This window comes from Homo sapiens, chromosome 9 (genome assembly GCF_000001405.40).
Source record: "Homo sapiens chromosome 9, GRCh38.p14 Primary Assembly".
NCBI lineage: Eukaryota > Metazoa > Chordata > Mammalia > Primates > Hominidae > Homo > Homo sapiens.
Genome location: NC_000009.12, coordinates 115,824,886 through 115,840,381, shown reverse-complemented (window position 1 = coordinate 115,840,381; position 15,496 = coordinate 115,824,886). Strand labels below are relative to the sequence as shown.

General features: G+C 38.1%; 1 long non-coding RNA gene across 1 annotated transcript in view, besides 1 other annotated feature; it reads right to left on the bottom strand.

The window, feature by feature from the left end:
* Nucleotides 598–1,190: an enhancer, noted in NCBI's record as "OCT4-NANOG-H3K27ac hESC enhancer chr9:118601471-118602063 (GRCh37/hg19 assembly coordinates)". NCBI's record gives its function as "activates a minimal SCP1, AML or CMV promoter by ChIP-STARR-seq in naive and primed H9 embryonic stem cells {active_cell/tissue: H9 hESC(naive and primed)}" and the evidence as "EXISTENCE:reporter gene assay evidence [ECO:0000049][PMID:30033119]".
* The window catches only part of LOC105376234 (uncharacterized), an 83,492-nt gene continuing 81,047 nt past the window's right edge, over nt 13,052–15,496 (bottom strand). The window contains exons 3-4 of the long non-coding RNA XR_930269.2: nt 13,639–13,797; nt 13,052–13,439 (exon numbers count right to left, since the gene is read on the bottom strand). This is a non-coding gene — a long non-coding RNA (uncharacterized LOC105376234). The remainder of the gene's footprint in view (nt 13,440–13,638; nt 13,798–15,496) is intronic.

The window sequence follows — 15,496 nt, the reverse complement described above, 5'->3', positions numbered from 1 at the left end:
AGCCACCAACTTAAAAAGGACTGGACAATACTTTTACCACTTTCCCTTCTCAGAATTCAGGCCTGTCCTCGGAATGCTACAGGGTACAGCCCATTTGAGCTCCTGTATAGATGCTCCTTTTTATTAGGCCCCAGTCTCATTCCAGACACCAGACCAACTTAGACTGTGCCCCAAAAAAGAACTTGTCATCCCTACTATCTTCTGTCTAGTCATACTCCTATTCACCGTTCTCAACTACTCATACATGCCCTGCTCTTGTTTACACTGCCGGTTTACACTGTTTTTCGAAGCCATCACAGCTGATATCTCCTGGTGCTATCCCCAAACTGCCACTCTTAACTCTTGAAGTAAATAAATAATCTTTGCTGGCAGGACTATGCTGAATCTCCTTAGGCACTCTCTAATCAGATATCCTGAGTCGTCCCAATTCTTAGACCTTTTATACCTGTTTTTCTCCTTCTGTTATTCCATTTAGTTTCTCAACTCATCCAAAACCATATCCAGGCCATCACCAATCATTCTATATGACAAATGTTTCTTCTAACATCCCCACAATATCACCCCTTACCACAAGACCTCCCTTCAGCTTAATCTCTCCCACTCTAGGTTCCCACGCCGCCCCTAATCCCGCTTGAAGCAGCCCTGAGAAACATCGCCCATTCTCTCTCCATATCACCCCCCCAAAATTTTCGCCGCCCCAACACTTCAACACCATTTTGTTTTATTTTTATTATTAATAAAAGAAGGCAGGAATGTCAAGCCTCTGAGCCCAAGCCAAGCCATCACATCCCCTGTGACTTGCACATATACGCCCAGATGGCCTGAAGTAACTGAAGAATCACAAAAGAAGTGAATATGCCCTGCCCCACCTTAACTGATGACATTCCACCACAAAAGAAGTGTAAATGGCTGGTCCTTGCTTTAAGGGATGACATTACCTTGTGAAAGTCCTTTTCCTGGCTCATCCTGGCTCAAAAAGCACCTCCACTGAGCACCTCGCAACCCCCACTCCTGCCCGCCAGAGAACAAACCCCCTTTGACTGTAATTTTCCTTTACCTACCCAAATCCTATAAAACGGCCCCACCCTTATCTCCCTTCGCTGACTCTCTTTTCGGACTCAGCCAGCCTGCACCCAGGTGAAATAAACAGCCATGTTGCTCACACAAAGCCTGTTTGGTGGTCTCTTCACACGGACGCACATGAAACTCACTATGCCAAAGGGAAAAGTTCAGCTTGGGAACTGATTCACTTGAAAAACGACAACAGTGACAACAACAAAACTGACTTCGTTTTGTTCCCAAACAGATAGCTATAATTTCACATGCTTTTTTTTTTTTTTTTTTTTTTGAGATGGAGTCTCTCTGTGTCATTGAGGCTGGAGTGCAGTGGTGCGCTCTCTGCTCACTGCAACCTCTGCCTCCTGGGTTCAAGTGATTCTCCAGCCTTAGCCTCCTGAGTAGCTGGGACTACAGGCACACACCTCCACTCAAAAATATATAATTTTTTATATTTTAGTAGAGACTGGGTTTCACCACATTGGCCAGGCTGGTCTCAAACTTCTGACCTTGTGATCCATCTGCCTTGGCCTCCCAAAGTTGTGGGATTACAGGCATGAGCCACTGCACCCAGCCTGGCTTATTTTATCTTACATAAAATGTAGATTTCCTGAGCGCCAGATGAATGAATGAATAATTGACTTTTTCCCCCTCTTCCTCCCTTTTCACATGTAAAATGTGGATTCAGTGAGACTAATCAAAGCCTCACGAAAATGTAACCACTTGCCTCATTGCCTACCCTCCCTCTTTTTTTCTTCTTTCCCCTCCTGCCCTCTTTCCCCGCTTTACATATTGAAGTTCTCAAAACCTTCTTTGGAAAAAAGCACAGGCCACAGATCCAACTGAAACTTGTCTTTCTTTCTTTCCTTTTTTTTTTTTTTTTTTCCCCAGGAGTGTCCTCAATCTTGGCAAAATAAACTTCTGACTTGATTGAGATCTATCTCAGATTTTTTTTTGGTTTAAAAGATCTTAGAACAGTATGTGAGTTCTAAGTTCATGGCAGCCTTAATAAGTTCTAGAAACCATGGTCCTCAGTAGCCTGAATCCTCTGATTAGTGGTAGTTTTTCCAGGCCATTATCTGCAGTTTTTCCAGGATCAATTGATTAGTCCTTCTATCTATTGTTCTTGAATACATCTGCAACAGCACTGTCCAATCTTTTGGCTTCCCTGGGCCACACTGAAAGAATTGTCTTGGGCCACACATAAAATACACTAACACTAATGATAACTGATGGGCTAAAAAAAAAAAAAATCACACAGAAAAATCTCATAATGTCTTAAGAAAGTTCACAAATTTGTGTTGGGCCACATTCAAAGCCATGCTGGGCTGCATGAGGCCTACAGGCCGTGGGTTGGATAAGCTTGATCTATAAGGTTCTGTAGTGCTGCTCCGAATTTAAAAAATAAATGAAAAGAAAAGGACAATTTGAGGACAGGCAGTACTAGAACAAGGTTATATGTATTTAGAACATGGAGAGTGAATTTGTGGCAGGAAACTGCTACTGAAGACGCCCCTGAAGGGAAACAGATGTCTCCCTGTCCCTGGCTCACATGAGCTCAAAAGAAGTGTGCTGGTGAGGCAAAACATCAGCAACACTTGCATTCCGAAAAAAATGCCTTTAAAAAATATCAGCTTCATAACAAGTCTTAATATCAAGTTGTGTTTGTCCCTCCTATTCATTTTTTTTTCCAAAATTATTTTGTCTATTCTAGGCCCCATGCTTTTCCATATAAATTATAGAAGTAGTACGTTAACTTCTACAGAAATCTCTTCTAGGTTTTTGATTGTATTTGCATTGAAGCTATAGATCCATTTTGGAGGAATTAGCATTCTAGTAATATTGAGCTAAAAAAATTGAGAGGCACCCCCTGTATATGTTCAAAGTTCTCTCTTTGTGCAACTAACTCCTCTCTATTACTCTGTACTGAGAATTCTAGCCTCCTTGGTCTCCTAGGACTCATTTCTGTCTCCTCAACTTAGGGAACCTTTTCTGTTCAGACTGCGTTCCTTTTCTTGCTGCTAGGCCTGGAAACTCTCTCCAGATGATAAGCTGTGGCAATTACAATGTTCACCTTGTTTCCTGTCTCTCAGGGATCACTGCCCTTCATTGCCTGATGTCTTGAAAACCATTGGTTCATATATTTTGTTTGTTGGTAGTTTCAGTGGAGTAAGAGACTAAATATGATCCCTGTCACTCTTTTTTGAGAAATCAAAGTTAGATATTTATTTTTTAATAAGTTTTAATAAAGAGAGTAAAAGCATTTTATTGTTATATACATATTTACAATTTCCGATTCTGTCCACTTCTTTGTGTAAGTGCTAAATTATTTCTGGCTATCTTCTATTTGAAAGATTTTTTTAAAGCATTTCTTCTAGAGCTAGTTGACCAAAGACAAGCTCTTTCGGTTCTCTTTTTGTCTGTAAAATTCTTTATTTTGCTTTAGCATTTTAAATATATTCATGTTGATAGAATATTCCAGATCGACTTGTTTTTAATTTTGTTTTTGTCTCTTTTCAATACTTTAATAATGTTGCTTTACTTTCCTCTGAGTTCCATTTTTCCTGATGAGTATTCAGCATTACCTTTTATCCTCTGTGCATAATGAGTTGTTTTTGTTTGTCTGATCACAACTTTTTTTATCATTGGTTTAAGAAATTTTATTATGATGTGCCTTGTTGTAGTTTTCCTCGTGTTTCTCCTGCTTGTTATTTGTGCTCCTGGGATATGTGAGTTTATAATTTTCTTTGAATGTGGAGAATTTTCAGTCATTATTTCTTTAAATACTGTCTTGTTATTCTTTCTCTCTCTTCCCTCCTTTGGGGACTCCAATTACACATATATGTGGTTGCTTCTAGTTGTCCCATAGCTCACAGATTTCTTGGTTGTGGTGATGTCTGTCATGTTTCTGCATGCAAAATTTTAATTACCGTATTTGTAATTAGTAAGCATTATGTGTGGAGATAATTTGAAACTATTTAAATAGTATGCCTTTCATCATCCCTAATGGTAGTATACATTGATGCATACAATGATTATTACAATGGTGTTTTCCAAGTGGTAATTTTTATTTACATTATTCCTCTTATATTTATCAGTGTAATTCTATCTGACAGGCAGAATAATGGTCCTCCCAAAATAGCTATGTCTTAAACCCCAGAACTTGTGTATATACTATGTTTCATGGCAAGGAGGAAATCAGATTGTAGATGAAATTATATAGGCTAATCAGACGACCTTAAGAAAAGGAGCTCAGTTTGGATTGCCCAGATGGTCCTATGTAACCACAAGGGTCCTTTAAGTGGAGGAGATGTGGAAGAGTTGTGTCAGATCCATATGGGAAAAATTCTGCTGATTATCCCTGACACTGATGATGGAAGGAACCACAATCCTAGGAATGCAGGAAGTCTGTTGAAGCTGGAAATGGGAAGAAAATGTATTCTCCCTTAGAGCTTTCTGTAAGAAATCTACTTCGGCTCACACTTGATTTTATCCCAGTGAGACCCATTTCAAACTTCTGACCTCCAGAACTATAATTTTTTAATTTAAGAATTAATTTGTTTTCTTTAATAAATTTGTAGTACAACATTACTCCAAAAACATCATTTTTGCCCAACATAATTTCATTGTAATAGTAATGAGAAAAAAAATTAAACTGATTTTCGGCCAGAGAGCCACATCCTTCCTATGTCTGAATGAGTTTTCTTCAGGCACTGGCGTTTCCCCTTACATTCTAAAGATGTGCATGTCAGGTTAATTGATGTGTCCAAATTGTCTGAATGAGTGTGAGTGCATGCGTGTGCATGTGTTTGTATGTATGTATGTGTATGTGTGAGTGAGTGTGCTCTGCCATAGAATGGCATCTGGTCCAGTATTGGTTCCCACCTTGCTTCCTGAGTTGCCAGGATAGAGTCTAGCCCCTGGTGACCCTGAACTGGAATAATTGGGTAAATAATTATCTTACTTTTGTTTCAGTGTTTAATGTTAGCAATTTTTTAGTCTTTATTTTGAAGTTTGGTAATTTTTTTTTTTGTGACCAGCAATATATGCTAGGAAATGAACTCTTGTTATATCAATTAGCCTATGGTAAAATTGATTTCCTGAACCAGTTGAAAAGTCAGAGTTTTCAAAAATCTATCCACTATGTAAAGTGAAGAGTCACCATAATTTGTTACAATAACAATAGGAAACTAATAGATTGTACCATAAGAAAGGGTATCTTTTTCTCTCTACTTATTTACTGACATTCATTCATTTATTCATTCACTTATTCCTTTGTTATATCAGCATAAATTTATGGATATTTATTTTATTTTATAACTTACATCATTCAGTGTTTTTATTTTCTATTTTTTGCTTGACTCAACCCAGACTTAGCCATTCAGCTTTCTTCATATCGACTCCTCTGTCCTTTCTGCATGTCTCTGTTATATGATGAGCACTTTCTCACCCATCTCTGTTATATGATGAGCACTTCCTCACCCGGCAGTGCTTACACTCTTAACCCAATGCTACACTGACCTTCATGAATCATATTTCATATACTTAGTTGCTTCTCAGAATTACTAGTGAACTTGATATATCAAAAAAACAATGTGGTCTGCAAAAGGAAAAAATATTAAAAGCCATATGAATACTCACATCTTTAAAAGTCTGATTAAAGATGTTCACAACCATTCACCACTAACGTTTGAAATCGACATAAAGGAAACCATATCAGTTCTAAAAATGCCCTTGTTCTACAATTGAAATTGACATCTTGTGCTGCAATTTTGTTTCTTCATGCCTTCATGTCAGCATTTATTTATGCCCTTGTTTTAATCTAAAAGGAAGTCAGAATACAAGTTTCCAACACAGATAAAAGCTCATCAAAACCAAAACTTAAACTTCCAAAACTAATGAATCAGTGATTATTACCAATATAATCCAAAGAGTTTTTGCTTCATTAATGCTTACCTTTAAAATGTTAAGTTAAATATGTATTTACAGTTCGTTAATAACTTACCATGCAGCAGAGGTATTTGAGGCCACTAAAAATTGAAAATAATTCTATAAAATTAATCTTTATGATTACTCTATAGGTAATGAGAACATGAAATTTGATTTACAAACTACTTCTCAAAAATATAGGTGCTGTACAGAATAAGACTTACTTACAAATGAGATAAAATATATATTGGTGCCTCATGGCAGAACTATGGGGAATGTGTAACTTTTGTAGGCTGCCTCAATAGTCTTCATGCACTTGAATAATAATTTTTAGAGCATTGGGCTGTTATTCTTTAAATATTTCCCTAATAAAATAAGTAGCCTTCTGGACTTTTCAAAATTCCAGCTCAAAAATCTAACTCAGCAGTGTTTTAGGTATTTAAATAAGAAACGACATCATTTACCTATAGAAGAATGCTCCAAGACAAACCAACAGTACTTCCTTGGTTAAAAAAAGAAAGACAGAGAAAACCAGTCTTTCAATAAGATGAGAAAGAGGCCAAGCAAGGAAAGCAGTATCACATAACCACTCTGTTAGTAAGGGATAGCTCCTGAATGTAAATCCAGACTGGATGATGGCAAATTCAGTGTTTTTTAATTCATTACAGCTGGAGACAGAGGCAGAAAAATACTGTGTATCTATGAGGAGACAGCACTTCAGGTGCATCTTAAAGGCTAGATATGGTTTAAGGGTAGGCATTATTGAAGAAAGAGCAGAGGCAGAAGGTTAGCTTTCCACACAGAAAGTTAATCTGAAATAAAAGCACAGAACTAGAAACTTTGGGCAATTAATTCAGTCTGTTAACAGTAACATACGAAGAGCCATAATGGGAAACTGGAATCAAGTTGGAGGTACACTGTGATGAGCCTTGAATGACACCCCTAGGTGAAGGACATCATATTTGCCTTCCAAGCATCCACTACTGCATCTCTCCACAATGGCTCATTTTGTTTGGCTAGAAATTCCTTTAATTCATGCTTCCACAGTTGGTCCTGATTCTCCTCAACTAACAGATTACAGCAGTCCCACAAATCTTCCCACAGGGTTCCACTCAGAGATGGGTTTTAAACCGAAACCTAAGGCAGTCAACTCCCAATATCGCTATAGATTCAACGATTGGTTCAGAGGTAGGTCCATACCTTAAGAAGAAGCCATTGAAAAAAATCCCTTGACTCTTGTTTGTCTCTCTGCCTCTAGATCGTGTGGAGTGCAGATAGAATACCCATGACTGCTTTAAACATTTTTCCATTCATGAGAAAGGCTGGCTAAAGAATAAAGCTGACATTTGGAGGGGAACTAAGAGAATAACAGAGAAACAGCTTACACCTTTGCATTAGTAAATTTTCACACTGCTATAAAGAAATATCTGAGACTGGGTAATTTATAAAGGAAAGGGGTTTAACTGACTCACAGTTCCACATGGTTGGGGAGGCCTCAGGAAACTCGCAATCATGGCCGAAGGGGAAACAATACCTGCTACATGGCAACAGGAGAAAGAGAAAGAGAATGAAGCGGGAAGGGGCCCCTTATAAAACCATCAGATCTCACGAGAACTCACTCACTATCATGAGAACAGCATGAGGAAAACAGCCTACCAGGTTTTTCCTTAGACACAAGGGAATTATGGGGATTACAATTCAAAATGAAATTTAAGTAGGAACACAGATCCAAACCATGTAAAACCTTATCAAATTGTGTCTATAGTGCAAATTACCTGTGGATTTCTCAGGGATATAAAACAATATATTCTCATTACCTTTTAAATTATTGTGAGTTTGTTATTGTTCTTTGCAATCAAAAGTATCCTGATAGATTAATTATTTAGAAAAGAGGAAACGTTTGAAGGTTTTCAAATGTGGATATAAAATGATCAGTGTGGTATTATTGAAAGATGCTTTTGATATCTCAGTGGAAGCTGGATTGGAGCAGGCAGTTTGGAAACAAAGAGAAAGAAAAATGGGGATGATATTACACTCATTTAAATGGAAGATGAATCCTAACTTCACATATGGCAGTGATATAGGAATGTGGATAAACTGAGAAACATGAACAGGGTCAAACCAAAGAGTATCTTTAGTGTTGACAACCAAGTGAGAAATAGTATTTGACTCATATTTTAGGCTCTGCTCATTCATCCCTCTCCCCTTAAGGGGTAGAACATGCTAATGTGAATTTCCAAGTGAGTTATGTATGGGAACTGATCTTTGACATGGTCCTGGCATGGAAATAACAAACAGGACTCCATTACTTTAGATTATCAATTGTCCAGTTCCTGGAGCCCAATCATGATGGAGCATCGCTACAGAGTGAGAGGGCAAGAGAAAGAAAAGGACAGATGGAGGGGGAACAAGAGTAGAATGGGTAGAGAGGTGATCGAGTGTTGGATGGCTTCCAGGAAAATGTTGATCCCAAATAACTTGACTGAGGTGTTACATAATAAATTATGTAACAATAATAATAATGATAATCATAATACTAATCAAGTTATTATCATAATAGACATTAATTCTTATTGAGCAGTTACCACATTTCAGCCACTGTACAAACAATTTATATGCTCTACCTTGCTCAAGTCTTAGAAAGAAACTTGCTCAAGACCAAACAGCTATGAAGATTTGGAGCTGGTATGGAACAGAGTATGCCTGACCACATGGTTGTAGAAACATAATTTTTAAAAATGATACCATCCAGGTCCTCATCTCCCTAGTTGAATCTCTTACCAACTGACACTTCAACTCTAATCTGTAACAGTTTTCCTTTCTATTGCTAGACTTTTCTCACACATTCTTCTTATTCAGCTTGAATATCACTTTTCCTGACATAACTTGCATGACTTTCTGGATCCGAAAAACACTCTCCCATGGTATATCGCCCCATGATAGTGTTAAATGCTAAGTTGTCCACTTTCCATGATAAACCAGAGACTATACAGTCATATACTTGACTGTTTTGCTCTCTGATTGACACACAATGATTATTCATTAATTGTGTTGAATAAATGAATGCGGTCAGAAGGGGAGTGTGTTGGGAAGACAACGTTATTTGTAAGAAAAAATATGTGTGTCTATTTGTGTGTGTGCGGGGAGGGGGGGCTTGCTTTCAAAAATAAGACTTAAACAACAGCAAGAATATGCTTAGGCTTTTTTTTCCAGTGTCCCGGGGCCTGTCTTGGTGAGGAGGACTTCTGCATTGGGTAGCAAGGCATGATTGTGTATGTCTATGCTTCCCACATCTCCTTTTAAATGGCTAGATTTAGCATGAAAATTTCAACTTCAAATAGTCTCCAAAGACATGGTTGGTGACCAGCATAATACTTTTGGTGGCAAAAGGAAAAAAACGAAAGTAATGCAAGAAATGGTCAAAGAGAAAAGAGGCCAGACAATTCAATCTCCTTCCACAAGCACTCAAGCAATTAAAATAAAAACAATTACTCATATACATAGAGCAGGTCAGCACTTTTATTTTATTATTGTTTTTACAGAACAAGGGAAATGCATAACTCCTAAGGGGCAGCGATATAAATATTTCAGCTGATAGTAAGTCCAGGACCAACAAGGTAAAATAAACTAGATTTAAACAATCAATTTTACACAGAACTGCAAAAGATACTGTGAAATTCTGCAAAATTGCAGATCCAATTTCCCTAGAATATACTTCAGCCTACCAAAACCTTGACAATTATTCGTGTTGGAGGACAAGGCATAAATGCAGACAATGGGAAAACAAACACTCAATCATCTGGTTTCAGAATGGCACAGGGTCCAAAAAATGCCTGTTTGTCTCTTCGTCCCTGAAACCTGGAGCTGGTCTCCTGATCTCTATATCTTCTAATACATACATTTCCAGTAACAATAAATATGGGTTCTTTGGGAAGAGGCTAGAAAGACTCACCAGTCACAGTAAGCTTTGGCCTTCCTCTTAGTATGAAGAGGCTTTCTGCATTTTTGAACTTCATACTTAGTTTTCCTTCGGATTTTCTTTGAGGAGAAATTACTATGTGCAGCCAGGCACAGTGGCTCACACCTATAATCCCAGCACTTTGGGAGGCTGAGGTGAGCGGATAACTTGAGGCCAGGAGTTCAAGACCAGCCTGGCCAACATGGTGAAACCTTGTCTTTACTAAAAATACAAAAGTTAGCCTGATGTGGTGGCACACACCTGTAATCCTAGCTACTCAGGAAGGTGAGGCAGGAGAATCACTTGAACCCAAGAGGCGAAGGTTGCTGTGAGCCAAGATCATGCCACTGCACTTCAGCCTGGGTGACAGAGCGAGACTGTCTCAAAAAAAAAAAAAAAAAAAAATTATTGTGTGGTAGACACATGGTCATCCAAAGGTTTTTATTTTTAATAAAACCTTGCATTATGACATTCTGAAGTTTTGTCTTTCTTTATCTACTGGCCAACATTCAGATTATCAGTCTGAAATCACAGATCTGACTCTTATGCCACTGCTCGTTTCCTTTCTGTGACCACTGATTGTCTTCAGGACAATCTCCAAACTCCTGAGCCTGGCACACAAAGTTCTCATGCTCTGTCCTTGCTGAAATCTTTAATCTCATTTCCCACTACTGCCTAATTTAAGTCCCACTCTTCACTCATACAGAAGTGTATGGTGATTCTTAGCTGTCTGGATTGTGGCACGCCTTCAGCACTGCTGTGCAGAGTGATTTCCCACCTCTCACACCCAGTTCTACCACCTGTCTTCTCACTCCATCCTTGTCTATCTAGTGAATTTCTATATAACCTTTAATCTGAGCTCAATAATTACCTTCTTTGAGAAAACTTTTCTTATTCTCACAGGCAGATATTGGAATTGTGTATATAGTTAACTTCAGGTTGTTGAGACCTCCACTGACCACTTAGGATGCTCTATCATTCCTTTTTACTTACAAATCAATTTCTTCAACAAGGCTATGCCTCTTAGGGCAAAGACTGTGTATTATTTTTCTCTGAGTCCCCTGGCTCAGGATCCTGCTTGATGCAAAATCAGTACTCAGAAAATAGTTGTTGGTTTCAGAGGCTGTAAATTTTTGTTCAGTTTTCATTCATTCATTCATTCATTCAATAAACGTTCATTGAGTTTCCATCCTGGGCCAGCCTTCATACTAGGTACTGAGGATGTAATAGTGGGTAAAATAGATAATACCCCAGATCTTATGAAGTATACTGACTGAAAGAGGAGTCAGAAATTATTCCCTGATCCCAGTGGTCAACATACAGCTACAAATTAACCCTAAATGAAAGGCTGTTATTATGATACTGTGATTGGTGGATTAGGGTAGGCTACACCGATGGAGTGACCATTACACTTGGATATGAGCAATAATCTGACATTAAGGATTTAGAGGTGGGATATGGAGATTATGTCACATAGAAGAGCTGGAGCGTTTAGAAGTTCTGTAATGAGAAGAAGCACGGTTTATTTCAATGAACACAACACACAGAGAAGAAAGATTTAGGCCAGTAATTCTCAACCAGGAGCAATTTTGATCCCCCAGGATACATTTGGCAATATGGAGACATTTTGATTGTCACACCTGGGGTATGGTGTGGGTATCTAGTGGGTGGAGACCAGAAATGCTGCTAAATATCTTACTGATGCTGAGGAAAGCCCCCAACATATCAATAATGCCAATGTTGAGAGGCCTTAATCAAATCTAGTATTAAATGAGGCTTTAATACATTTTAAGTGTCAAAATGAAGCTTTTATTTATTTTGGGGTTTGGCTTTTTGTATGTGTGTGTTTGATTTTATTTATTTATGTTTAATATTAGATTCAGAAGATACATGTGCATGTATGTTACATGCGTGATGCTGTGTGATGCTGATAATTTAATAATCAGCATCTTATTATTACATTATTATGTAATTATATATAATATAATAATTATATTTTAGGATATTATTAGATAATAATTGTTGTATTATTAGGATATTATTCTAACAATCACGCTATCCAAATACCGACCAGAGTAACCAGTGGGTAGTTTTTCAACACTTATCTGCATCCTTCCCTCTCCACTTTTGGAGTGGCCCATACCTATTGATACCATCTTTGTGTCCATGTGTACCCAGTGTTTAGCTTCCACTTATAAATGAGAATATGTGGTATTTGGTTGTCTGTTTCTGCCTTAATTCACTTAGGCTAATGGCCTCCAGCTGCATCCATGTTTCCATGTTGCTGCAAAGAATGCAATTTCATTCTTTTTTTTGGCTGCATAGTATTCCATGGTGCATATGTGCCACATTTTCTTTACGCAGTTCACTGTTGATGGGCACCTAGTTTGATTCCATGCCTTTGCTATTGTGAATGGTGCTGCAATAAACATATTAATGCAGGAGTCCTTTTGGTAGAACAATTTATTTTCTTTTGAGTACATATCCAGTAATGGCATTTGGGTCAAATAGTAATTCTATTTTTAATTCTTTGAGCAATTTCCAAACTACTTTTTACAAGGGTGAAAATGATTTGCATTCCCACCAGAAGTGTATAAGTGTTCCCCTTTCTCTGAATCCTCACTAGCATCTGTTATTTTTTTGACATTTAAATAATGGCCATTTTTGCAGCAGTAAGGTGGTATCTCACTGTTGTTTTGATTTATATTTCTTTGATGATTAGTGATGTTGAGCATAGTTTCATATGTTTGTTGGTCACTTATATGTCTTCTTTTGAGTAGTGTCTATTCATGTACTTTGCCCACTTTTTAATTGACATATTTGTTTCTATACTATTCATTTGTTTAAGTTCCATGTAGATTCTGGATATTAATCCTTTGTCAGATGCATAGTTGGCAAATATTTTCTCCTATTCTGTAGGTTGTCTACTTCCTCTGTTGATAGTTTCTTTTGCTGTACATCAGCTCTTTTGTTTAATTAGATCCCATTTATCTATTTTTTATTTAGTTGCACTTGCTTTTGGAGTCTTCGTCATAAATTATTTGCCTAGGTCAATGTTTAGATGAGAATTTCCTAGGTTTCCTACTAGGATTTTTATTGAGGTCTTACATTTAACCCTTTAACCCATCTGGAGTTAATTTTTGTATCTGGTTACAGGTAGGGGTCCAGTTTCATTCTTCTGCGTATGGTTAGCCAGTTTTCCCAACACCATTTGTTGAATAAAGTGTCTTTTCCCCACTGTATATTTTTGTCAGTTTTGTCAAAGATCAGTTGGTTGTAGGTGTGTGGCTTCATTTCAGCATTTTCTATTCTATTCCATACATCTATGCATCTATTTTTGTACCAGTATCATGCTGCTTTAGTTATCATAGCATTGTAGTATGGTTTGAAATTAGGTAACGTGATTCTTCTGAATTTATTCTTTTTACTTAAGAATGCCTTGGCCATTTGGGCTTTTTTTGGTTCCATATACATTTTAGAATAGTTTCTTCTAATTCTGTGAAAAAAAAAATGACATTAGCAATTTGATAGTAATAGCATAGAATCTGTAAATTGCTTTGGGAAGTATGGACATTTTAACAATATTGATTCTTTCAACCTATTTTAATTATTAAGGCCTTTTTTTCTTTTGACCTAGGAAATTTCTCCAAATTCTGTTTCTTAATCATACTTGCTTCTTTATTACTGATAATGACCTCTCACTCCTGATGTAGCAGGCTGCCTCTGGTCATCCCTCTCAACTTCATGGTCCAGATGATCACTATTTTCTGGAGGACATGTCATGCAAGACTCAGGCTTCATTTCCCCTTCAGATTATGGCCTTTTCCCAGCTCCACATTTGGTTCTGGAAATTCCTGCAGAATTTAAGCACCACCGTTGGCTTGTCAGGAATGGAAAACCAGATAAAAAGCTCACAAAGTTCTCAGTACAAAGCAGGTGCTCTAAAAATATCTGTAAGCCTACACTAACTTACCATTTACATTTGTTGCAGATACATACAAACCTACATTATGCTGTATTCCTACATGATCCTGAGCAACCAGAATATCAAGGGCCATGTGATAATTAAAGTTCACGTTCTGGAGGTCCTTGAGCAATAGACTAAGTCACTCTGTGAATTTTGGAAACAGTGATGTATTCCTGGATTGCTTCTCAATCAGATCTATAAAACAAAGTTATTTGTAGAAAATTTCAAAAGACATGTGCTCAAGCTCACTGAGATATGGTGAATGGAATATTCATGGGTGGGACTTAGACTTTCATATTAGGAGAAATATCTTTAGGTCATGCTGATGGTCAGCCATGGCAGGAAACTACTAAACCAGAGTATCGTTAAGGAATTTGTGACAGACACCTAAACATAAAGTCTAAAAAGTTTTAGAGTTGACTAATGAATGAAGCAAACACTCTCTTTCTCTTTTGTTTTGTTTTTGGAATAAAGCTTGTATTAGTCCATAATGAAGCAAACACTCTCTTTCTCTTTCATTTTGTTTTTGGAATAAAGCTTGTATTCGTCCATTCTCACACTGCTATAAAGAAATACCTGAAACTGGATAATTTATAAAGAAAGGAGGTTTAATTGACTCATGATTCTGCAGGCTATACAGGAAGCATAGCTGAGGAGGCCTCAGGAACTTACAATCATGGTGGAAGTTGAAGAGGAAGGAGGCATGTCTTACATGGCAGAAGCAGAAGAAAGAGTGAAGGGGGATGTACTACCCACTTTTAAACAACCAGATTTTTTGAGAACTCTATTATGAGACAGCACTAAGGAGATGATGCTAACCATCAGAAACCACCCTCATGATCCAGTGACTTCTCCCCAGGCCCCAACTGCAGCAGTGGGGATTATAATTCAATATGAGATTTGGGTGAGGATACAGAGCCAAACCATTTTGTTCCACCTCTGGACCCTCCCTAATCTCATGTCCTTCTCACATTTCAAAACTAATCATGCCTTCCAAATAGTCCCCCAGATTTTTAACTCATTCCAGCATTAACTCAAAAGTTCAAGTCCAAAGTCTCATCTGAGACAAGGCAAGCCTCTACTGCCTATGAACCTGAAAAATCAAAAACAACTTAGTTGCATCCAAGATACAATGCAGATACAGATATCACATAAATGCTCTTGTTCCAAGAGGGAGAACTTGGCCAAAACAAAGGGGCTACAGGTCCCAGGCAAGTCTGAAACCCAGCAGGGCAGTCATTAAACCTCAAAGCTCCGAAATAATGTCCCTTGGCTCCATGTTTCAAATCCAAGCCATACTGATGCAAGGAGTGGGCTCCCAAGGCCTTGAGCAGCTTTGCCTCTGTGGCTCTGCACGGTACAGCCCCTGTGGCTCCTTTCACAAGCTGGCATTGAGTGCCTCTGGCTTTTCCAGGTGCACAATGCAAGCTTTCACTGGATCTACCATTCTGGGATCTGGAAGATGGTGACACTCTTCTCATAGCTTCATTAGGCAATGCCCCAGTGGGGACTCTCTGTGTGGGGCTCCAACCCCACATTTCCCCCTCTGCACTGCCTCAGTAGAGGCTCTCCGTGAGGGCTCCACC